We start from the raw sequence: 26104 nt of genomic DNA on the forward strand, positions 1-26104 counted from the left end.
GCTTGAAGCTGGGAGGCAAAGGTTACAGTGAGCTGAGATTGCGTCACTGCACTCCAGCCTCAGGGACAGAGCGAGACTCTGTCTCAAAATAAATAAATAAATAAAATAAAATAAATCCCTTTTGAGAACTTATTTTTGGTTTCGGCAAATTTGCTTAGACTTTTACATAATATCCTGTTCTTAGTTCTTTTTAACCTCTTTAAACATCTAACGTATTATTTATCTCTTTCATACTGGCCTATTTTCTTGGATTTTTAGGTTTAAATTCTCCTTTTGGTTGACCCCACCAGCCCTCCTTCTTGAAGGTTTATTTTCTGCCAAGACTTGCAATTGTTAACTGTGGTTTCAAAGCTAGCAGCTCGCCCTGAGAAGTACCAGAGCCCCTGGGTTGTGGATGCACAGGACAGGATTATATGAGCCTCTGCAGAAGGTCTGTGGGCTTTACCTGTGCCAGATTCGTGTTTATATTTTTAAATACTTTTAGATTTAGAAAAAAGATAAAAAGATGCAAAAATGATTTAGAGGGTTTCAGGATACCTTTTACATAGCTTCCTCTAATATTAAAATCTCAATAACCATAATAAAGTTAGCAAAACCAGTACGTTAATCTTTGTACAATACTGTTAACTATAGACTTGATTTGGATTTCACGTTTTCCCACTATATTCTCTTTTGTTGTTGCTGTCATTCCAAGATCCTATCCAGGATTCTGTGTCATTTAGCTGTTATATTCCACTGTGTTTTGAGTTCCTTTTCCAAGTTTTGTTTTTGTTTTTTTGAGACAGAGTTGCACTTTGTCACCCAGGCTGGAGTGCAGTGGCGCGATCTCGGCTCACTGCAACTTCTGCCTCCTGGGTTAAAGCAATTCTCCTGCCTCAGCCTCCCGAGTAGCTGGGATTACAGGCGCCCGCCACCATGCCTGGCTGATTTTTTTTTGGTATTTTTATTAGAGATGGGGTTTTGCCATGTTGGCCAGGCTGGTCTTGAACTCCTGGCCTCAAGTGATCCACCCACCTCGGCCTCCCAAAGTGCTGGAATTAAGGCGTGAGAAACAGCGCCCATCCCCTTTTCTAAGTTTCAAGGGGATCTTGTTTTCTTGGGTTGTGTAAACAACTCCAGGGTTATCCTATTACCTTTCAAGACTGTGTGGACTTTGGTCTTCTCATCTTTCTAAATTGTGAGGCACTAATCTTTTAATTCCAAACTGAATTTGCTCTTAGTGGATTCATCCATTTGCTAAGTGGGTAGCAGTCAAACTACACTGAGTAGAAAGGATTGGCACAGGCAAAAACGAGTGAAAACAAGTCTGCAAATTCCACACACTGAATAGAATACCTTCAACTTAATTTCTTGGACAATGAAAGTGAGGCAGGAAAATGGGGTCTGGAGTAGGGGACATAAGGCCGAGCCACAGTTCAGCTATGACAGGAAACATCCTCTCCATAGGGTGTACGTCGAGTAAATGACTGTGTGACTTTACTTAAACCTCTTCATTTACATAGGGCGTACACCAAGTAACCAATGGAAACCCCTAGAGGGTATTTAAACCCCCACAAATTCTGTAACCGGGCCCTTGAGCCCCTATGCTCAGGCCTGCTCCCACACTGTGGAGTGTATTTTCATTTTCAATAAATTCCTTCATTCTTTCCTTGCTTTGTGTGTTTTGTCCAACTCTTTGTTCAAGACGCCAAGAACCTGGACACCCTCCACCAGTAACAAAAGTACTGGGTGTTCTCACCAGAGACACAAAATTAGAGAACAGAAAGATCATCTCATCCAATGTTTCATGTTTTACAAACGAGAAAACTATCATGTTGCAAAGGAAATCAACAGAAAATATCACTTTGACACCAATTCATAGCATTTATTGACATTTCCATTTAAAATGCTAGGAAAGCTGTATAAATTGTAAACATGGAAACCAAATACTTGCATAAATTATTTCAAAAACTCTACAGCACATTAGAAAACAGTGCAGCTATTGAAGGATAGAAACATAAAACCGACAAATAGAAGGGAGGGGCCGATTATTAAATCGTATACCCATACTGAGATTTCAGTGCCTGTTTGAGGACCAGCAAACCATGATTGTCAAGTTTAAGTTGCAGTATTGATGCCACAGTTGGCCTCAATTTGCTCTGCACATTTCGTACATTAACGCTCATAATCTAGGGATGAGTGTGCAGGAAGAGCCAGAAAAACATGGACCTTGACAAAGGAGGGAGAGACAAGTCAGTACTCCAGGGCAGCTCTGCCGAGCAACCTTTCCTATTAACGCTAGCCAGACTCCCTGCGTCCCAGAGATGCTCCGGAGGAGGGCAAAGTCGAGGGCGTTCCCACTCCCCTTTTCTGAAACAAGTCCTCTGGTGCTTAGAGCAACTGAATGAATGGGTGGAGCCTCAGTTCCTCTAGTATCTCCCTCTTCTTTCCCCACATTTGCAGGAGGAACAGTACAGCATATGCGACTTGAACTTGGCCCTGTACTATTCCCAACTTGTACACTTAGGGAGTCAAGTTATGAATACTTGAAATCTGGTAAGTACAGGAAAGACTATTCGTGATGCTCCAAGTAGCCCAGAAAGGTTCTGTGTAATCAGGGACTGCAAGAGACTCAAGTCACTCAAAATTTCACCTCTGTCCCTTTTACCTATTCCTTTTTTTTTTTTTTTTTTTTCCAGAGACAGGACCTCACCCTGCAGCCCAGGCTGGAGTGCAGTGGCGTGATTATAGCTCACTGCAGCCTCCAACTCATTGGCTCAAGCGATCCTCCAGTCTTAGCCTTTCGAGTAGCTGGGACTACTGGCACATGCCACCATGCTCAGCTAATTTTTAAATTTTTTTTGTAGAGACGGGGTCTCGTTATGTTGCCCAAGGTGGTCTCAAACTCCTGGCCTCAAGCGATCCTCCTGCCTCAGCCTCCCAAAGCGTTGAGATTAGAGGCTTGAGCCACCATGCCCAGCCTATTCACTCTTTCTTTAGAAATGTGAAGTGACCCCTGAAAAACCTGGAGGAAGAAGGAAAAGGAAGGATCCTGGATAATTATCTACCCTGTGGGAAGCCATTTTAACTATACTGCATTAAGACATTCATTGCTTCTGTCACTTTCTTACTGGCTCCTAACTTTGTTTCATGTTTCCAAAGGCATTTAATATTCTTTTCCTAAATTTCAATGCTGCTGTGTTTTAAGATAAATTATCAAGCCTACTGTCACACACACAAGCATGGACTTAGCAATGTACCATGATGTTGCGATTTCCAAGTCATCTTCATAGTGGAGAAAGTAGTCCTGTTTAAACACTGACAATCACCTCCACGAATATCAAAAGAAACCCGAAATGCACATCCTCCTTGTTCATTAGGTAACAAGTGTTAAGTCTATCATAGTTGATGAGTATGTTACAGCAGCTGCTCATAGAAACCCTGTTAGAACGTGTTAACATGTTAGATTAAATGTAAAAATGAAGTTCAGTTGACTATGCCATAGAAATGTGTTTTGTGTTCACATGCTCTGTCTGCCGGTACAGAAGTGGACTTCCTCCTGCTCCTGTCCAGGGCAAATGTGGATAAGCAGGCTCTAGTACTGGCGCTGGCACCTTGCTCCGGAGGTAGAAATGACCACGGTGAAAACTCCACTTGAGCTAAAGTTAGCGTGGGAGTTAAGACCGGAGTCCTCCTTCCCCTGTGCCCAAAACGTTACCCAGCTTTCCTTCCAAACGACAAATTCATTCATGTCTGAGAATCTAGTGTGAAAGGGATGAGAGAGACTTATATAACAACTAATTTGTGAATTACTGCCAATGCACTGCAAATCAGTGTCCGAATGACTGGCTTGGTCACTGGAACACTTAGAAAAAAGTTGTGCGAAAGAAGGAACGCTGAACCTGTCCACGGGAAACGGGAGACTCCTATAGCACAGAACCGCGTGCTGGCTTTAGCCCAAAGCCTTTAGCGCCTACCTTCACCCGTGCTTTGCCTCACAGTCCGCATGCCAGGAAAGATCTGGCCGGCAAACACCCACTGCTTAAAAGTCATCTGCCACCCAAATCAAAACACTATGAAATTAATAAAATTTGGAGAAAAATGTGTAGGTAGCAGTAAAGAAGCTGAATATATATATAGATAGATAGACAGATACATAGACAGACAGACAGATAGATAACCCACTATGCTCCACAAAGGATATGGCGTGGCCAAACGGCTGCTTGAGATCTGCTCTAAACAATGACCTCAGTGTCATTCTCATCATTTTCGTCCTCTTCCCTTGCCTCCCCCACACTGGAGTACTTCCTCTGTAGATCTTCACAGCCCTGGTCGTTTCCTTGCTGCATGACTGCAAAAGCATCCTTCCAGCACCTCTTCCTTCTCTTCTGAAACTCCCTCAATAGTGCAGTCGGGGATTCTGTCCCCATATCAAAGCAGATCAAGATCAAGTTCATTTCAGTGACAGCTTCACTCCTTCCCTACAGCCTTTCCCAGGCCCACTCTCAGCTCTTCCTTCCACGCCATTTGCCTGGGTAGCTGCCCTGCCTTCAAAGTCACTTCAGAAGTTGACGTCTCCCCAAGATATTGCATTTCCAAACATGCAACTTCTTCTGGGTGCCTAATTCATTTATGTCTTTTGAACAAATTTTTTTCTTTTTGAGACACAGTCTTGCTCTGTCGCCCAGGTTGGAGTACAGTGGTGCAATCTCAGCTCACTGCAACCTCCACCCCCCGGGTTCAAGCAATTATCGTGCCTCAGCTGGGACTACAGGCATGCGCCACCACACCCAGCTAGTTTTTGTATTTTTTTGTAGAGACGGGGTTTTGCCATGTTGCCTGGGCTGGTTTTAAGCTCTTGATCTCAAGTGATCCACCTGCCTCAGCCTCCCAAAATGCTGGGATTACAGGCGTGAGCCACCGCGCCTGATCTCTTCGAATGAATTTTATTGACACTTAAACCATGTTATTTATCGGTATCTTCCATCTTCTATACCCACTCGTGCTATCTTAGATTCTAAAATCTCAGAAGGCAAGGCTCATGTCTGCTGGGTTATTTGGTGCCAGAGACACCAGAAAGTCGGGAGCAGAAAGATGCTTAATAAATGCAATCGGAAAATTGGTGAAGGAAGTGAAATTAAAGCAAAATGGGAGTGAGGAAACTGAGTCACACCGAGCTTTCGGTTTTGCTCATTACCCATGTGTGAACCCATTCACCGCAGTAGTGCAGCGTTTCACATCACTCATCCTAGGGCGTCCACATAGACAGCATGCTACATTTTCACAGTGCTTTATGCTCCCTCCTCACAGGACATCTGCACACATGATCACATCTGATTCTCACAACTACGGTGCCTGGGAGGTGGCGGGGGAGGTCTGTTCTTGTTTGGCTTATGGGGAGAATGAAGTTCAGAGAAGGAACCAGACATGGTCAGTGAGTGACAAAGTAGTCTCTGAAAAAAAAAAAAACAACATTTCTCCAAACATTCTGACTCAAATTTACAGTTTGTGTTACCACTAGAACTTTTAAAATAGGAAAAAAGAATAGACATAAAATTCAACTGTTCATTGTAGAGTGCTTCCATAAACGGACTCCAAAGCCACACGCTGTCAACGCAAGGACCCTTCCTTTCAGTGGATGACGTGAACTTAATGTCTGAAGACCGCTAGGGTACGGTGCTGCTCACACAGCTAGTTTTTTCTGAGTTTGGTGACTGGCAAAACTGTTGTGGCAGGCGTCGAGAGGAAGCAAGTACAAACTGTGTGTGCTTTATGACCACCAGCAGAGGGCTGGTGATCCGGGGGCCTGCTCACACCACACCATAACCACCGGCTGTTTATTATACATCATCTTTGGTCTTGACATCTGTTTAAAGGTGTATTGTTTCTAAGAATAAAAATACAGTTAAAATCCCTTTATGGTAGTTTGAAAGACATCAAAATTGCTTTTACGGTCAGCCCAATTTGAAACAGAACCCTCTTTCTGCAATGCTCAAAGGAGGTTACCATTTTTAGCACACTCTATGTGCAAGCCTGTATGGCCCTGAGCGGAACTGGGTGAGAAGGGGCCATTTATCCCGTTTGCTGTCACACGATTTGAATTCATTACAAGGTGTCCATAATAAAATTCTGCTTGGATATCTGAAATTCTTAATAACATATTCAGGAAACCTGGTATTTTTGAGTGACATACAAAGATAATCGTTCAATTTGGGAGGAGTCGGGTATTAAACCAAGACCAAGAGAAATTTGGTATTAAACCAAAACCAAGACATCAAGCCCAGAAAGGGGCATTCTCTCCAATGCTCCTTGGAGCCTCTGAGGATCGCCTGATAAGATGCTGCTGGTCCTTTGTTGAACGTCCTTGAGAGACTTACTCTCCTGCACTCCTTCTCTTTCAGAGGTGCCCAGATGAAAACTGGCTACATCTTACCTTCCCAGAACCAACTTCCCTCATATTGTAAGACTCTAAATCTGTACAACAGGCTTCATTAATGAAGGGCTAAAACATGGTTTTGAAATCCAGTGATTACACTTTGGAAACCTGTTTTAGCTGTTTCAGGGGTCTTAAAACTTGACACAGATACACAGGTTTTGATCAGTCAGAGCCCCAAATTCTATAGCCCCTTATCTGTTATTTAATGAAAAGTACAGTCATGCACACATCAGGATGTTTTGGTCAATGACGGTCTACATATTGATGGTAGTCCCATAAGATTATAAAATTGTATTTTTACCATACCTTTTCTATGTTTAGCTATGTTTAGATACACAAATACTTACCATTGTGTTCAGTACAGTAACATGCTGTACAGGTTTGTAGCCTAAGAGGAATAGGCCATGCCACACAGCCCAGGTGTGTAGTAGGCTATACCATGTAGGTTGTGTAAGTACAATCTAGGATGTTGGCACAGCAACAAAACAGCCTAATGACACATTTCTCAGAATGCATCCCCATCATTAAGCGATGCATGACTGTCTTCGCTGATCTAATAAAAACAGGTTAATAGTGAAAATCTCTTAGCTAAGCCTGCTTTTCTTCTGAGTTTCACTCAGGTACCAGAAAACAGAACAGCCCTTGCCACTGTTTTCTTTACCATTATTTGGAAAGTGGGGGAAATGTTTACATCAGGAGTACATCTTAAGCGAGATGATCCCCTCTTAGCCCAAAGAGCATAAGACAATTTTAATAGCCACTCGACAGAGTAACAGCACAATAAAATCAGAAATGAGAAGCAACTCTCTCCTTTCCCTTGGGGTCTCAAAGCTCTTTTACATTTCTTGATTCATTACAGAGAGGCTGAACTGAACTCAATTTCATTTCCAGGCTCTGAACACAGGGAATGTGACTGGTAGGGATGTATGTATAACAATTTCGTGGTGCTGGGAATTATTAAATAACTTCTGCTTACAGAAGATTTCTCATTCAGACATAATTTGTGAACAAATCAACAGCAAAGTGGAAGAAAGGATCAGTTAGGACCTCTTGAAAGCCGCATTCTACAGGATCGGCCTTAGCGATCGGTGCTGAACTGGGACATGACCAGGAGTTGTGTGTGCCCAATTAAGAAACAGCAAATACAATGAAGAATGTAGATCTAAACTTTGATCTGTATTTTGGATAATCAAATAAATATAAAGCTTTTTGCCCCACTTTGGGAGGGATTTTTTTTTTCTAGAACAAAATGAAACCTTCAACATATTCTTCCACTGAAAAAGCCAAAGTTCCATTTCAGACATGAAGGTGAAGGGCCCTTGGAGCTGTAGCACCAGAAGAAGGAGGAAGAATGCGGGTGATGGCTTTGTTTGGAGTCATCAGGCTCTACAACCTATCATTTGGTTTCTCACTAGTAGCTTTTTAAAATTCCCAAACAGTCTTAGTATTCTTGTTGTTAATGTTACTATTAAAATAAGTTCCTATGGAGTAAAAGAGAAAAATTAAGCTGTTAATAAAATGTCTTCAAACCTCTTCTCAGAAAACAAAGCAGCAGGTTCATCGTACACGTACCAGTCTCAATCCCACAGAAACGCTTGGTTCCTTTCATCCCTATGCTGTCTATACAGTTTAATCTCTACCTTTAAAAAAGAGACGAATGCAGTCATTTTGTTAGCTTAGGTTTGTGTTTTGTTTTTGTGAAGTGCTGCTGGCTTTTGGCCAAAATACATATATTTCAACTGAACCCAAGTGTTCAGACAATTGCCAGCCCAGTGAAAGGCTCATGAGCTGTCACACGACGTATGGCATCTTCTAAATTGCAACTTGCTCCCTCCCTTGGGCAGGCTGCCCGAGAGTTGCTCCTTCCTCTTCCAAACACCCACTCAGTTGATTTCCTTTTGGTCTTGCTTCCACAGGAAGCGGATACTTGGCAAATCTGCGAGGCGAGGCCGATCAGCTGTGGAAGTTCTGCACGGTGCTCTGTTTCTGGGAGAGCCGGAGGAGCTCCTCGCGGATTGCTTTGATGAGAGAGGCCGAGGAGTGGCCAGGCTGGAGGTCTTCCGTGGAGCTGGTGGGGTAACCCAGCCCAGGGCCCTGCAGTCCCCGGTGGGGGAGGTTCCCGGAAGGAGCTGAGGGCTCCCTGCCTGAAGTCCTTGGCACCTGAAATAGCGGTGAAGAAGAATACTCTTGATGTCCGAGCATGTGTGTCTGAAAAACATGGCAAACGTCACTGTACTTCCTACGAAGAATAAGCCGAAACATCAAATGCAAACTGGCTTTAGGAAGGTTCCCAGGACTGCCCACGTCCATCCACCAACTCAGCCCTCTAACAGGGCCCTGCTGCCTATGCTGCAGGTGAGGCGTGAAGACACCAGGGGGCTGGGGAGAACAGAAGGGAGGGAGGCTGGAGTGCCCCATGATGTGAAAGGTCGGGTGATATCTGAGAGCTGAAGGAGGTTAAGCGGATCCATGCCAGGCTGACAAGGGGAACAGGTGCCTCTGCCCTGGACTGGAGCCTACGCAACCATCTTCTGCTTTATCTAGCTGCTGTCTGTCTCCTGTCTCTGCGTGAGTGTGTGTCTACTGAGGGCTCTGTAGAGCCTTGTCTTTAAAAACTTATCTGCACTAAAGCATAAAATAGTTTTGCTGATATTTGCCGCATAGAGATTAATTTGGCAGGAGTTTCACAAGAATTATTACACTTTTCAGATTTTTTTTTCATGTTTATTTCTCTCCCAGTGGAAATAAATGTCTCTTTGCATTTATATGTAAGAGTACTTAAATCTGCGTACTAAAAACCATGTTAGGGCTAAGTTATTTGTGAGCCAAACATGACATTCCAGCTCTAGGTTCTTTCTACGTTTCACTTCTCCAAATAGTGACCGAGCAGTGTTCCAAAGTGGATGTGACAGGAAAACCTTAACACACCATGCCAGGCACGGTGTCTCATACTTGTAACCCCAATCCTTTGGGAGGCCAAGGAGAGAGGATTGCTTGAGGCCAGGAGTTCAAGACCAGCCTGGCCAACATAGTGAGACCTTGCCTCCATTTTTTCAAAAAAACAAAACACCAAAACCAACCCCAAACACCTCATGAAGCTAAGCTGGGCAAAATGAAGGCAAAAAAAGAGAAATGGCAGCAAACTTAAAGCAGATACCTGAGACTCTAAGTATAACAATGTCTCTTTTAGGGAAGCACCTTATTCTAAAGTTAATGTCTTTTTACTAGGTAAGAGCATCCAGCCATGAAAGGAATTGAGTGTGTCTGTTGGGAAGGCACAGAAATGCAACAGACACTGTAGCATAACGATAAGGAGAAAACAAAAAGTAATATTCTGGGTGGTTATTTTCAAACTTCATGAATTTATCCCCCCAAGATATACAGTTCTTGAGAAAAGCAAATGAAAGCACTTGTAGGAATTACCGATGCTCATATTGAGTGAACAGAAGTCTCAAAAAGAAAACCTGTGCCTTAAAATGTCCCCAACTGTGTGCTTATTACAAAATTACCTACACATGGTCATAATACAAATGACATTAACAAACCCACAGTGAAACACAAATGCTGTGGAAGAGCATGAATATTTATACAGCAATCCCGCCAAACATGAACTCCAGAGTTGTCACCTATAGATTCGAATTTACTACTGAAAGCTTGAACTCTGCCTCAAGAAAAATTATATACTTCCTAAAAGCTAGATGCTAAAAACTGTAAGCCAAAACACCAGGAGGCAGGAAAATGTGAGAGAGATTAAAACTTTTTTAAATGTAGGTTTTAAAAAGGGACCCCCCCCAAAGCAGAAGCTGCTAAATTGAGGGATTATGTCTTTTTTTTTTTTTTTTTTTTTTTTTTTTTGAGACAGTCTCACTCTGTCACCCAGGCTGGAGTGCAGTGGCACGATCTCGGCTTAGTGCAACCTCCATCTCCCGGGTTCAAGTGATTCTCTTGCCTCAGCCTCCCAAGTAGCTGGGACTACCAGCACCCGTCACCACGCCTGGCTAATTTTTTTTTGTATTTTTAGTAGAGACGGGATTTCACTACATTGGCCAGGCTGGTCTCAAACTCCTGACTTCGTGATCCGCCCGCCTCGGCCTCCCAAAGTGCTGGGATTACAGGTGTGAGCCACCGCACCTGGCCTATGTCTAAATTTTAAATGATGACCCAAACAGGAGATACTCACGGCCTCTCTTCGCCCCGCTTCGTCCTCCCCGTACGAAGGCCAGCCTGGCCCCCCATACTGGCTGCCTCTGCTTGGCGGGATTTCCACTGGCTGAGCTCCAATTCTGCTGGCAATCCCCACCTGTGTCAGGTGCTGGATCTGGGAGCCTGGAAGGAACATGGTGGAGTGGCCTGGTCAACATTTATAGGAGAGTATGGCTGCTGAGGATGGCTGCCGAGGAAGACACTGTCAACTCTGACCACTACACTCCTTAATGACAAGGGATCAGGACTTGGTACCAGTTCTATCTCCAGAAATCTCACCTCAACTGCCATACTGTCAGCATTTCCTGAGGGTCCCATAGGTAAGGAAATGCACCACGAAGCGGTAGGAAAATGTACCACGAAGCACCGTGGACCAAGCAATAAAAATAAACAAATAAAAGAAGAAAATCCCATTGCAAAAAAAGTCTGAAACAGAATTCTTGACCCCGTGACATTCATCCCTAAGCCTAAGTCTGTCCCCCATTTCGCCCTCCCCATTTCCACCCAGGGCTGTGCAGCCCTACTTGCTCAGATCTAAAAACCTACACCCTATGCGCCACTCCTCTTTCCTGCGCACTTCTACCAGCCCATCAGAAAGCCCACGGGCTCCTCTCCTGAAACACTGTGTGAGGGTGACCCCTCCTCCCTGTGAGCACCACAACAGCCCCAGTGGAACCACAATCCCACCCCTGATGCAACTGTTTTGGAAACACCCTGTCAGAAGACACTGTCAGCTCTGATCACTGCACTCCTTAAGGACAAGGGATCATGACTTGGTACCAGTTCTATCTCCAGAAATGGCATTTCCTAAGAGCAACAGACCATAAGCTTCTTGGTTCCTGGACTCTGATTTTCTTTTAATTCAGAGGCTGACAGTGATGCCCTTATTTTCGTGGCTAGACATTAGGACTGGGGATAAACGGTACCACAGAAGGTACTTCCATTCATCTCTGTGGCAGTTACCAACAAGGAGCAGCTCATTTATTAAGAAAGGGGTGACAGGTTTGGGAGCCACCATGAAGCTGAAGCCTGGCTCTTTCTTGCTTGTGGCTTCGAGATTCACAAGGAGCTGGTTATACAATATGCTTATTTTTTTCCCCTTAAAAGGCAGAATACGTATCTATTTAAATTCAGCATATTGAAGTATATTTTCATTATAACCCATATTGTGTCTGTAATGTAGCCACAAGACAATTAAAACCACTCCCCCAGCCTCACTGGTGCGGTGAGCTGATGGCAGAGCCAGAGGACTCTCTAGAGCTAATTACCCCCCTATACCCAGACATCTGCAGCCTCCTGTGGCTATGGAAGCCAGGTAATACACAATGTTTTTCTCCCTCACCAACTTCTGTCGTATGGAAATATACCTATATTGCAAATTAAGGGCGAACAAAGTGATCCTTAAGCACTGTGAAATAGAATACTTATTTCTAAATTTGGAAATTTCATCAAATTCACCAGTGATGCTCAGACTGGAACCACAAAGGCTCCAAGCGTCCATATCTAAAGGAGGCACCTCCTCCGTCTTTAAGTCTATTCCTACTCTAGTTGTCTAATTAATAACCTCCATTCTCTCAATTCTTTATTTTAAGAGATGGGGTCTCACTATGTTGGCCAGGCTGGTCTTGAACTCTTCCTAGCCTCAACTGATCCTCCCACTTTGGCCTCCCAACATGATGGGATTATAGCTGTGAGCTATCGTACCTGACCGACAACCTCAATTAATCAACCACATTTAAAAAAAAAAAAAAAGAACTCCTCGATGGTTTTATTCGGATATTTAATGATAACTAAAAGTCAGGAAAAGCTGTCCTGGCTCTGGGCAGAGCAATGCACTCTACTGGAGCACCAGGTCAGTTACTGAAAAATCCTAACAGTATTAAAATGATCAGGACTACCAGCACTCCTTGCCCAACAGACGTTGTTTGAGCAAATCTTGCAAAATGCTGCAAGAGCAGCGCGGTGTTCCCTGTTTCCAAAGGCTCAACCAACTGCACAGGGAGAAAAGCACACCTTCTGTGTAAAGCCACTCCAGTAGCTGAAATCATCATTCGGTAGGATTTTGTATCCTGTGTTGTTCACTTAACTATACAGCACAGGCTTCCCCCATGAGTCAGCATTGAGCCCAGCAAGCCGGGGTTTGCATTCCAGCTCAGCCATCGACAAGCCATGTGACCCTGAGCAACGGGCTATGGCTACCGCTGAGCCTTGATTCCTCACTTCTCCAGCAGGAATAAAAAATCTACCTCAGCTGGGTGCAGCGGCTCACGCCTGTAATCCCAGTACTTTGGGAGGCTGAGGCGGGCGGATCACCTGAGGTCAGGAGTTCACGACCAGCCTAGCCAACATGGTGAAACCCTGTCTCTTCCAAAAATACAAAAATTAGCCGGACGCAGTGGCGGGCACCTGTAATCCTAATCATAGCTACTTGGGAGGTTGAGGCAGGAGAATCGCTTGAACACAGGAGGCGGAGGTTGCAGTGCGCCGAGACTGTGCCACTGCACTCCAGCCTGGGCGACAGAACAAAAACTCTGTCTCAAAAAAAAAAAAAAATCTACCTCAGAGGGTTATTTCAAGGATTAAAAGACATAAAACAGATGAAGCATCAAACACATAGGAGGCAACTGGTAAATCTCAAATCCCCCTTTTCTGGCTTTTTATGACCTCTTCATCTTAAGTAGCTGCAGGATTTACTCAAGGATGCCCTTACTACTGAGTATCTGGGGAAACTAACAATTCTTTGCTATTATGCAAATAATGCCGTGATAAATATCTTGGCACGTCATTTTCCCCCAATATTTTGGATTTTAGGAGAGTGAGCCTGGATTTCCAGAACTGGAATTACCAAATCAAAGGCTCTGTAAGTCCTACCGCCAAACTGCCTTCCAAAAATTTAATAATTTATGCCACCACTGAAAATAATAGTGACAATGGTCATGGCAGCTAATATTTATTGAAAGTTTATGCTATGCTAGGCACTATTTTGAGCACTTCTGTCATCTTCTTTTATCAGCTAAACAACCAAGGAGGTAAGTACGAATATTCCCAGTACATATAGATGAAGAAACTGGATGCTAACTTTACCATGCCACATTATTATAAAAATAATTTCATGATTGAAATGGTGCATTATGGTGTTAATTTGCAATTTTAAAATAATTTAAAAACTGGACCTTTTTCCTCCTCCCACTGATCTTTTCAGGTTGGCCCACTTAATTTATATGAGGTATCTTCTACAATAAAAATACTTCTTGATCGTGAGGTGCTGTAAATTTCTCCTAGGTACTATTTTCTTTTTTTGAAAATAACTGGCAATTTTCAGACAAATACATGCTTCATAATTTTCTATAGTTAAAAAGGTAATCCTTCTAATAGATCTTAACATTTTCCATTATATGTTTTTACATAATTTCACCTAATAGAAATTTAAAAATAATTTCCTTTTGAATGTTATCAAACATGTATAATTTCTATATTCGTTCAGATTTTAAACTAAAAATTAATACATCTGAATTTTGCTTAGTACGCATGCCATGTAGGGAGGTTCAAATACCTAAAATTAGCAGGGGAATCAAGATTCACTGCAAAGCAAAGCACCTGTAAAGTTCAGGAAAACCTACAGGATTCCAGGACACACTATTTTTTTGCTGAGTAATAGACAATGCAAAATAAAAGAATTTCCTAGAAAAACCATAATGAAAAAATATCCACCAATTATTGCAAATTTGGAATTGGCTTAAACTACTTGCTTTTGTTTTGTTTTGAGATAAGAGTTTTGCTCTGTCACCCAGACTTTGAGAGTCGTTCGTTACAAGCTGAAAAAAGCACCTTCTTGAAAACTAACTCTTGTTTTCATGCCATCCAAAGTGCTCAGACCTAGATCTTTCCATTTACAGTAAGGATTTGGAAACGTTTTTCCTGGAGGAAGCGTGCCGTGAATTTCACATGAAGGGCCTGGTTCCAGAGCCAATCAGCAGACAGCAGCTTTGGGAGCTCCGCCTCTCTCTCCGCCTCCATCTCGGTCAGGATATGAGGGGAAACAGCCCTGAAACAGCAGTGGCAGAGGCCTCTGCACACTGACACTCTGAGACACCTAAAATAAAGTTTCTTTCAAGTAAATGTCCCGTAGCTCAGAAATGGAAGCTAAACAGCCACATATACCTGTGGTACCCCCGACAGGCCGAGGCCGGGCCACCGACGGCATCTCCTCCGAGTAGATCCCTCTGGCAGCAAATGGGGCTTCGGCGGAGGCCTGTGGCTGCTGAGGGTCAGGGGGCACCAGCTCTGTAGACTGCAGCAAACCGGGGCCAAAACCTGGTCTGAAGGCAAAGCAAACCAGCACATCAGGACTCCACTGCACCCTGGCCTTGGTATTCCATGAGGTCCACCCCCAACCTTACAGAAGGTAACACTTATTTGTCTACCTGCTTAGCCATCTCCTCTCCTGGAAGGGGAAGAGATGTTTCTCCTGCTCCCTGAGGGAAGGGACTTTTCTATTTGTTCACTGCCCTACCTCCAGCACTAGAACAGCGCCTGCAATACAGTTGATGCTGACAAAAGCCAGGGCCTGCTCATCTCCAGCATCTGCCTCGTCCTGTGCTTCCTACCCCTGGCTACACGTCTGCATCACCTGGCGGGCCCGAAAAAATCACGACGCTCACACTGCACCCCAGACGAATTGAAACAGAAACACTAGGGGCGAGACCAACACAGCGGTAATTTTTTTTTTTTTGAGACAGAGTCTCGCTCTGTCCCCCAGGCTGGAGTGCAGTGGCGCAATCTTGGCTCACTGCAAGCTCCACAGTGGTAACTTTTAAAATTACAGACGATCCTGCTGTCCATCAAGGCTGAAAACCAGTGTTCTAAAGCAGCGGATCGCAAACTTTTTTTTATCTCCAGACCTCTTTTGACTCATAAAAATTATTGAGGACTCCCAAGAGCTTTTGTTTCTGTGGATTGTATCGCTATTTACCAGATTAGAAATTAAAATGGAAAAAAAGTAAGTATTTATTTTAAAAATTTATTTACAAATGACAATTAAACATATATTAACATAATACTTTTCATGAAATTAACTATTCATCAATCCTCCCTCAAAAAAAAGTAGTGAGAAGAGTAGTGCTATATTGTTCAAATGTCCTTAACAGAAGGATTCTCATAGAGTTTGCATCCTGTCAGTTGCTGGATGTTAGGAAGAAAATCTGGCTTCAGAGAATACATAGTTGGAAAAGGAAGGAGTATTTTAATAGCCCTTTTAGATCATCTTAAAAAAATATTGCAGGCATTCTTCTTGCTACCACACAAAAATTCCACAAGTGGTAGTTCCTCAGGGGTCAGTTGCAATATGGAATCTGAAATGATACTGGTGAACTTTTCGTACTCTGTTACGCTAAAACCCATAGCTCCATCTTGCACTTTGAAGGGATCTCTAACTCATGCCTGATTTTATGACATCTGTCATTTGGAACATAGTTCACTGAGTTATGCAACCTTCTCGATATTGTTACCTCTCATTTTGCAGTATCGAAAAATCCCATTCATTAATCTCATCATCAAACTCATCCAGAAAAGTCTCTCGGTGCTAGGAAGTTGTCAAGTTCACAGTGGCAGGCAGACAAGTTCCCAAAATTCAAATTTTCACTTGAAAGCTCATTTTATCATTAGCAACAAATACTGGCAGTTGTTTTTCTTGAAGTGACAGGCTCACTTCATTCATTTTCAAGACAGTGTCTGCCAAACACCCGAGTCTGAATAACCACTTCTGCCAGCTGTTTGTTCAAGTAAAAAGCACAAAAGCAGTTGGTTCAGTTCAGTCTCCACTCAAACAATGGGAGCAAGGGCTTTTCTTCAAAATTCCATATTCCACAGAAATGCTTTCTATATATTTCCTCTTTTGTCACACAGACTACTAAAGACTTAAGGGTCCAGGTTTAATAAGATTTATGATTTTGACTGCCTCACCAAGGACATGCTAACATAAATTTTTAATTAATAAATCACATTTTTAAAACTGTGATTACAGGGCAGTGAAGAATATGATGACTACTCATACAATTTGGTGGCACTGCCTGGATGCATGCTAAAGACGAGCAGTTTTGGCCGGGTGCGGTGGCTCATGCCTGTAATCCCAGCACTTTGGGAGGCCAAGGCGGGCAGATCACCTGAGGTCAGGAGTTCAAGACCAGCCTGGCCAACATGGTGAAACGCCATCTCTACCAAAAATACAAAAATTAGCCAGGCGTGGTGGCGCGCACAAGTAATCCAGATACTCAGGAGGCTGAGGCATGAGAATCGCTTGAACCTGGGAGGTGGAGGTTGCGGTGAGCGGAGATCATGCCACTGCACTCCAGCCTGGGTGATGGAGCAAGACTCCATCTCAAAAAAAAAAAAAAAAAAAAAAAAGACGACGACTAGCAGTTTCACCCACCATTGCTTTTGCACTTCTGTACAAATGTCAATACAATGGAAAAAAGGGAAATAATATCTTAGTAATATTATGAAAGTTGTTTTGATCTCACAGACACGCCCTCCCCCAAAAGGGTCTCAAGCACCCTCCAGGAGTCTGAGAACTTCACCTTGAGAACCACTCTTCTGAAGAAATTCAAGAAAAAAAAGATAATAGTCTGCTACAGTTCTTTGCAAATGACACTGAACCACTAATTCACAGATGTAACCAGTTTGGTGAGAATGTAGGCTGACTTGCACTTATTCTCCAGTGTTATTTCTAGAGTATATCTCATAAACTGAAACCCAGGCTACCTATGTAACTCTCTTTAAATAACTGCTGTTGTTTTAGATTGGCCTCAGAGAGGGATGTGTGACATCCCTGACTTTATAGATCTAAGAGCCTTCCGTGAGGCATGCTCCTCCTTCAAGAACTGTAAACCGGAGCCCACACCTCACCTAATCACAGTCTCTGGACCATCCACCCACAAACTAGCTCTTGCCATTCACTTAATTCTCCCTACTTTCCCCCACCTTTTGCCAACATTTCCATCCCTCTATTCTTAACATGTTTTGCAATCCAACACTCTAAAATCCTTTAAAGTGGGTGATTATACAATTTATCATCCACACCACAACACTTCTGAGGGTAAAAGCTATTAATAATGGGACTAACTTGGGTAACTGGACCAGTCATGGTCCCCCATCTCTAACTTCTGCCCTGTATCACCTAAGCTCACCTCGCCAGTTTTACCTTTGCTGCTTTTGGATCACAAAGCTGTGTGGTAGGGGAGGAAGGGCGGAGAAAAGCAAAGCAAACCCCTCTGAAAATGATGATGGTTTAAAAAATAGAAAAATAAGTAGGAAGCAGATAACATTCCTACTTGGGTGTGACTTCTGGTCACTGAAGGGATGGCTGGGTTTGGTTTCTGAGATTCACTCTGTTTTATTGCAATGCCAGCTTTGTAATAAACCAGTGTCCACACATAGCTTGTCGACTGGTCTATTTCTCTAGCCTCACAGCAATGCTGTACCATCTTAATCACTTGACAGTAATGCACAATATTTAGAATGGTCCTAACACCTCCTTCTTCTTTCTCAAAGTGTCTGGGCTATTCTTGGCCCTTTGCATTTCCAGATAAATTTTAGAATCCATCTGTCGGTTTCCACATATTAAAAAGGAATTACTGGGATTCTGAATGGGATTGCATTGAATCTACAAATCACATGGGGAGAAATGACATTTTTAAAATACTGAGTTGTCCAATCTGTGAACATCTTTCTTTAGAGGGCTTAAAAGTCTTTGGTTAGATTTATTCTGAGGTGTTTTATATTCTAAGTGTTATTTTAAATGACATCTTTGAAATTTTTTTCTTTTCTGTTTGTTGCTTATATGCAGAAATAAAACAGATTTTTGTATACTGATTTTACATCGTTATTTTGAAATTTAGTTGGCTTGCTATTTAGCAATTTTGCTAAATTCCCTAAATTCTAACAATTTGTGTGTTGACATTTTAGGATTTGCTACTACAGAATTACATCATCTGTGAATAATAACAGTATTACTCCTTTCTTTGAATTCTTTACTCTTTTTGTGTTTTTCTTGCCTTGTTACAGAGCAATTTTGAATAGAAGTCATGTGAGCAGGCATTTCTGTCTTGTTCCAGCTCTCAGAGGGAAGGCTTTTTAACATTTCACCATTGAGTAATATTTGCCAAGATACCTTTTATCAGAATTGAGAAGTTCACTTCTATTCTTTGTTTGCTAAGATTTTTACCATGATGGGATGTTGAATTTTACCACCTGCTGTATCTATTGAAATGACAAGATTTTCCTCCTTTATTCTCCTTAAAGTGGTAACTTACACTGCTTGGTTTTTAAATGCTAAATCATCCTTACACTGCTGGAAAGAAATCCAATGTGGTTGTAATATGAGATCCTTTTGTGTCTACTGCTGGTTATGCTCACTGATATTTAGTTTCAATTTTTTTATATCTATGTTCATGAGAAACTGGCCCTCAATTTCTTTTCCTGCAATGTCCTTGTCCTTCTTGCCCTTGTCCCTCGTATCAAGGTGATGTTGGCTTCATAAAATGAACGGAGAAGTGTTCTTTTTCTATTTTTTTAGAAGAGTTTGTATAATACTGGTACCTTTCCCTCCTTCAGTGTTTGGCAGAATTCACTGCTGAAGTCCCCTGGGCCTGGAGTTTTGTTTGTGGGAAGAACTGTAATTATGATTTCCACTTTAAACATAGTTACATGACTATTCAAGTTTTCTCTTTCTAGGAATTTTTCCATTACAGAAAAAAAATTTTTTGAGACAGGGTCTCACTATGTTGCCTGGGGTAGTTTCAAACGCCTGAGCTTAAGCAATCATCCCATCTCAGCCTCCAGAGTAGCTGGGATTACAACCATGCACCACTGCATCCAGCCCCAAATTTATTAACAAAAATGGGTTCATAAAATCTCCTTTTTAATGTCTGTAAGATCTGGATTAATGGGTCCTTTTCATTCTTCTTATTGATAATTTGTTGCACAGATTATTTGATCAAGCTTGTGCGAGTCTATCAATTTTATTAGTTTTCTAAGAACAAATTTTTGGTTTTATTGATCCTCTCTTAATGTGGTATTTATTTTCTATTTCATTAATTTATATTATTATTTTTAATATTTCCTTCCATCTACTTCCTTTACATTTAATTGGATCATCTTTTTTTACATCTTGAGGTCAATGCTTAGATCACTGATTTTTCAGCCACTTTGCTTTCCAATATATGCATTTAAGGCAAAACTTCCCCCCTAAACACTGCTATAGCTGCACCTCACAACATTTGACATGTTATATTTTCATTATTATTCATTTTAGGATGTTTTGATTTCCATTTTGATTTCTTCAGGGTACTGCAGGTTACTTACAAGAGTACTAATTAATTTGCAAACACATAGAAATTTTCTTTTTTTTTTTTAACTTTTATTTTAGGTTCAGGGGTACATGTGCAGGTTTGTTATATAGGTAAACTCAAGTCACAGGGGTTTGTGGTACAGATTATTTCATCATCTCCTAGGTACTAAGCCTAGTACCCAATAGTTATTTTTTCTGCTCCTCTCCCTCTTCCCACCCTCTACCCTCAAGTGGGCCCCAATGTCTGTTGTTCCTCTCTGTGTCCATGAGTTCTCATCATTTAGCCCCCACTTATAAGTGAGAACATGTAGTATTTGGTTTTCTGTTCCTGCATTAGTTTGCTAAGGATAACGGCCTCTGGCTCCATCCATGTTCCTGCAAAAGACATGATTTCGCTCTTTTTTATGGCTGCATAGTATTCCATTGTGTATGCGTACCACTTTTTTTTTATCCGATTTGTCACTGATGGGCATTTAGGTTGATTCCATGTCTCTGCTTTGGTGACCAGTGCTTCAGTGAACATTTGCATGCATGTTTCTTCACAGCCGAACAATTTATATTCCTTTGTGTATATACCCATTAATGGAATTGCTGAGTCAAACAGTAGTTTTGTTTTTTTAACATCAATTAAATTATATTTATTTAAATATACTAATCAAAACACATTTTATGAAGCATCTTTTCTGTGACAGTCTGGTCTGTGCTGGATCCACTCTGTGCTGCTGTTTTCTGACACCAGTTGGTAGTTCTGTTTTTATGTCTTTGAGGAATCGCCACACTGCCTTCCACAACAGTTGAACTAATTGACACTCTCACCAACAAGCATTCCCTTTGCTCCACAACCTCACCAGCATCTGTTATTTTCGACCTTTTAATAATAGCCATTCTGACTGGTATGAGATGGTATCTCATTGTAATTTTGATTTGCATTTCTCTAATAATCAGTGATATTGAGCTTTTTTCATATGCTCATTGGCTGCATGTAAGTCTCCTTTTGAAAACTGTCTGTGTCCTTTGCCCACTTTTTAATGAGGTTGTTTGTTCTTTTTCTTGTTAAGTTCCTTATAGATGCTGGATATTAAACCTCGGTCAGATGCATAATTTGCAAATATTTTCTCCCATTCTATAGGACAGACAGCCTACAGAATAGGAGAAAATATTTGCAAACTAGAGCTTTTGCTGTGCAGAAGCTCTGAAGTTTAATTAGATCCCATATGTCAATTTTTGCTTTTGTTGTGATTGCTTTTGGCGTCTTCATCATGAAATCTTTGCTCACTCCTATGTCCAGAATGCTATTGCCTAGGATGTCTTCCAAGGTTTTTATAGTTTTGGGTTTTATCTTTTATTTTTGGTTTCTAACTTAATTCTACTAGGATTAGCAAATATACTCTGAGTGATTTCACTTCTTGAAATTTTTTAAGATTTGTTATGGTCCAGCATATGGTAAATTTTTAAAATGTATTTTAAAGGAAGCTGTATTTTACAGTTGAGTCCAGGGTTCTATATATGTCAATTAGGTCAAATTGATTAATCATGTTGTTCCAATCTTCTATATCCTTTCTGTATCTTTACATTTTTTGATGTGTTGCTCATAAGCCAAATACATTTTTTAAAAATCAAATCTAATAATCTTTGTCTTTTAATTGAAATACCTAGTTATTAACATTTAATGTAATTCATTATAGATCTGAATTTAGATATCTACCATCTTAAGTTTTCTTTCTGCATGTCCTGTAAATTCTAAGTTCTTTTTTCTCCTATTTCCTACCTTCTTTTGGATTATCTTTAAGTTATTTTGCTCTTCCTTATTATTTTATATTTAAGCATTCTTTAGTGAGCCTAGAACTACACTAGAATCCTTCACTTATAACAGTCTAACATAAAGTAGCACTTTTACATCTTCCTGGACAATGGACCTTATCTCCATATTAAGCATAATTATTTTAGAATCTGTGTCTGATAACTCCAATATCTGGATCCCCTGTAGTTCTGCTTCTATTGTCTATTTCTTTCTAATTAAAAAAAAACCTGTATTTTCTTTTCTTCTCATATGCCTGGGGGTGGGTGTGGGGGTGTGTGTGGAAGGGGGGCTACTGTAGCAATAATATAAGGCCAAGAGTGATGTAATCTTCTTCTAAAAGGGATGTTCATTTGTTTCTGCCAGGGAGCAACCCTAATCAACTTTCAAAGCTGAGCTTTACTTCCTGCAGGGACTGATCTACTTATGATTCACCCTTACTCCTAGAGCATAACCTCCAAACTCAAAACCTCTGGATGTTTACCAGGGTCTCCCCTCGTGCTCCCAGCCCCATGAGTCTGTCAAAGGCTTTGCCTGGCTTCCTAGGTGCTTCTTCTGGAATCCGCAGGTGTCCCTGGGGAAAAAGTGGCCCAAGAAGCAGGGCTCATGCCTCTGGATTTCCTGGATCTTGGTCTCATACCGCTTCACTGCCCTGTTAACTCTGTGGGGTTTTTAATGTTAATATCTTGTTCAGCTTTTCCAGTTGTCCTCAGCAGGAGAGTTGGTCCAAATTACCTAGCCTGTCATTACTGGAACAGAACTTAAATTCCAACTATTTTTCCCTCCTCTTCTGGTTAGATCAAGAGAATATACAACGCAGAGTTTTACATCTGCTCATATTAGCTAAAATTAGTGAGTTTATAAAGTTTTTAAAAACAGCCTATGTGAGAAAGTGATAATACATTTTGTTTTGAAAACCTTACCTTGGCAATGGACCCGTCGGGGGAGTCATTCCATAGTCTTCGTATCTCTGGAAGACATACAAAAGAACATGAAGATTAATATTCAATACTTATTATAAAGTGACAACAGCAAACTTATAAATTCAGCTTTACAGGATCAACTTTCAAGAGAATTATTTTCTCATTAAAACTTAGCATGTTACCGGGCACTCTGCCACCAAGTGATGCTACAAGTTTCGGTTCGAGGACCTGCACTACCAGACTTTAGAAAACACACAACTCATTTCTAGATCTTTCCTTCTTTTGTATATTACAACTATAAATATGAATAGCTGACAGGCTTGCTGTGCCTGCTCTTCCCCACAGATCCATCTGTATCTTCTGCTGCAAACCTGTATCTTCTGCTAAAAGGCCTCATATCTTTTGCTAAAAGGCAGGCCTGAATGCCCACAATTAGCACAAGTGACTCCAACCACATGAGCCACAAAGGTCAGCGAGACCCAGTGGCTGCCCAGTACCTATTCAAATACCTCAAGCAACTCAAGTATCAAATGCTGTCTCATGTTGCAGAATGCTGCAAAAAAAGAAAACCAGAAACTAGAGAGACTCTACAAGACGAAGGCAGCACGTTCTGTTTCTGACCGTTTACTGGTCCCCAGGAGACCCGGCTATATTTTCTGCCCTTAAGTTCCATAAGGTGCCCCCGTATCCTTCAATCAACTCTTTTTACTTGAGCTAACCTGAACTAGCCAAATGTTCTTTGACTAAAACAATATGCCACATGATTTAAGGAAACATACATCTAAGAGATCTGTTGTATTCCTGGTGAAATCAATATATCCTAACCCTAATATACATGGGACTCTTATTTCAACATTTCTTTTCAATAACTGTGAATTGTTCCTTTTGGAATTAGATATTTCAGAAGAACAGTAACTATGGGCAGAGTCTGTCCAGCGGCAGTCAGTTGGAACCAATGGTTTGTCTAAGTTAGGTCTAAGTCAGCCTTGCTTCTGAAGTTGCTCTAATATAACATCTTTCTTTTTACAAGCTGTCATTTACTGAATTAGTATTTTGAGTTAAGCATTGTATGAGCATTAACCTAGGCCCACAACATCACTAAAAAGTACTCACTGCCTCTGTTTTATAAATGAAACCAACTCACAAAGAAATTAGGTGATTTCTTCCTAATGTCTTTTGGACTCCAAAGACCATGCTTCTCACCAATCCCCCTGCACTGCCCATGGTTTCCAAAACAAGACACTCTCCTGTGAACAAATATCTATTTTGTGAGGGGAAAAAGTAGAGGCTTTGGAGTCACACAGACTGGCTTAACATCCCTGGGCCTATTCCTTTATGCCAAGAGAATATAACGATCTCCACATTCACAGAGTTCTAAGGGGATTATTAAATATGAAACCGTGGTCAGATTACTTCACCTTCTGACTCTCTCTGCTTCCATCCCCTTGGCTGTCATGTGGAACCTTGTGGAGTTCCCCAACTGAGGCAAAACAAGGGAAAGAGGGTTATGGAGGAAGGGAGAAAGAGAAGGAAAAGAAGCTTCCATTCCTTTTCCAAATAATTAAAGGGAAATCTGAGACTACATAGAGATTATTCACAGTGCTGGTGCTTTCGGCACAGTATGGGTTTTTAAAGCATATTCATATGCAAAATCTAAAAAAAAGTCAATGCTTACCAGTTTACCTACCAAAGTCTCAGGAGTTCTTAGTGGCATATTAAGAGAAAAACAATGAAAAATAGCTGTCCGCTTATTATCTGTTGTATCTTTGTAGTGTGAGGATTTCAACTCTATTCTCATCAGAAAAAGAATGTCATATTTCTAGGGACTACATGCCCTGATGAAAAGGTTTAAAAAAAAATGACAGACAGAATTTCTCTGATTCTGTTGCAGGATGGATCACACCTACATAAAAGTTTGGGAAACAAAATTGCATTTGAAGGTTTCAATCAGCTAGGTATATAAAAATCCCACTTTAATGCATCCCTTTTTTCTATTCAGTATAAAACACAGGCCGACAGAGTGAGGAAGGCAAGTTAGATGGTTGGTAGAGTCTGGGATAGGCCCGAGGTAAAGCAACCAGACAGTAAGGTCTGCTTGTGAAGTGTCTCAGCCCAGGGATTTGTACTTGCTACTCAAAGGACTAGTCCATAGAGAGCTTACCTTCTCAAGGAAGCAGCAATACCAACTATCACGTGGCCTGACTCACTGATACATAACACTCCTACCCTCGCAAAAAAGGAGTAATAATGTCATCAGGTGGCAAATAAAGGCTCATGCGGTAACTGAAGGCACCTTGAAATCCACATTCCTGTGGTTTTTCTTTTTTTTTAACCAAAAAAAAGCAAATAGCAGCAAATAAGAGAGTGATCAGGCTCCCCTTGGCAACATTAACTTTACAATCCATTTACAAACATGTTGAAATTATATTAGATATGCACAGATAAAGCCAATGATTCTGGTTTTCCACTAGATTAAGCTGCTACCATTCTCATCCAACTACATCAGGGTAACATCAAAAGTCCACAATGAGAAAACCATTGAATAATGGTGTTTATTAAAAAAATCTTACTATGGGCTTGAATTTATAAGGCATTATCAGGGAATCCTGGATCTGCAACACCTATGAACAATGAACAAATAAGAGAAATAACAACACGAACCTGCCAAAAATTACTGCTAAAAATTCATCAGCAGAAACCAAATAAGGAAAGGAGCAGAATCACGCTACACACTGAGAAAAGCAGTGGTCAAGGGGGAAACAAACAAACAAAACGAAGATTCTGGCAGCACGATGTGGCTCCTAAGCCCATCCCCAGAATGCTCAGCATTACATTGCCACTTAGAGAGAGTACACTGAGGGGTGCACTGGCAGTCAGGGTGAAGGGGAGGGAGGGGGAATCAGGAAAAGCCTGGAAGCAGAGAGAAGTAACAATCAGAGACCAGCAGTGAACAAGTTCAGGTCAGCTCATCAGATGAGCCTTTCCCTTTGGAAAACGCAAGACAAGCTAAGCTAAGAGGCTCGTGGTAGGTCTTCCTCCTCTTTTCCAGTCCTCCTGTCACCCTGAGATGCATCCAAGGCGTTGGACCTTCAGCAACTTGGCTTACTCAACACCAGTGAACCACATTTTACCTATCAGCTGCCATGCTGTGTTCAGCATCAGAACTGCTCCACCCTAACATCGTATATTCAAGACCAGAGGCAGGGAGACAATTAAGAAGGTGTTGGTGAGAGATGACGGTGGCTCCAACTGATGTCATGGTGTGGATGGATTTAAGAGGAAGAATCAGCAAAGTTCTGGCATGTTTAAATGACTCCAGCTTTCCATACCTTTCCTTTGCAGCACCTGGTCTATCATTTCAACTGCTCCCTCTCACCTGCACATCGCAGGTGCCTGACAAAGCCCTAGTCTTCATCAAT

The 26104-nt window shown here is 41.6% G+C and overlaps 1 protein-coding gene across 2 annotated transcripts in view, besides 2 other annotated features; it reads right to left on the minus strand.

The window, feature by feature from the left end:
* Window positions 847–1346: an enhancer, noted in NCBI's record as "H3K4me1 hESC enhancer chr7:138515129-138515628 (GRCh37/hg19 assembly coordinates)". NCBI's record gives its function as "activates a minimal SCP1, AML or CMV promoter by ChIP-STARR-seq in primed H9 embryonic stem cells {active_cell/tissue: H9 hESC(primed)}" and the evidence as "EXISTENCE:reporter gene assay evidence [ECO:0000049][PMID:30033119]".
* Window positions 1844–26104, minus strand: part of KIAA1549 — a 150009-nt gene continuing 125748 nt past the window's right edge. Inside the window, exons 17-20 of one of the 2 annotated variants that reach the window (NM_020910.3) lie at window positions 22686–22732; window positions 14780–14937; window positions 10596–10741; window positions 1844–8575 (exon numbers count right to left, since the gene is read on the minus strand). In NM_020910.3, the coding sequence (NP_065961.2) occupies window positions 8369–8575; window positions 10596–10741; window positions 14780–14937; window positions 22686–22732 (558 nt within the window). In that variant the 3' untranslated portion in view covers window positions 1844–8368. Of the gene's footprint in view, window positions 8624–10595; window positions 10742–14779; window positions 14938–22685; window positions 22733–26104 lie in introns of both variants that reach the window. The other variant, NM_001164665.2, reaches the window with a different exon arrangement.
* Window positions 2427–2721: a silencer, noted in NCBI's record as "tiled region #5807; HepG2 Repressive non-DNase unmatched - State 23:Low, and K562 Repressive DNase matched - State 21:Repr". NCBI's record gives its function as "represses a minimal TATA promoter and a strong SV40 promoter by Sharpr-MPRA in HepG2 and K562 cells {active_cell/tissue: HepG2 | K562}" and the evidence as "EXISTENCE:reporter gene assay evidence [ECO:0000049][PMID:27701403]".

This window comes from Homo sapiens, chromosome 7, assembly GCF_000001405.40.
Source record: "Homo sapiens chromosome 7, GRCh38.p14 Primary Assembly".
Taxonomy (NCBI): Eukaryota; Metazoa; Chordata; class Mammalia; order Primates; family Hominidae; genus Homo; species Homo sapiens.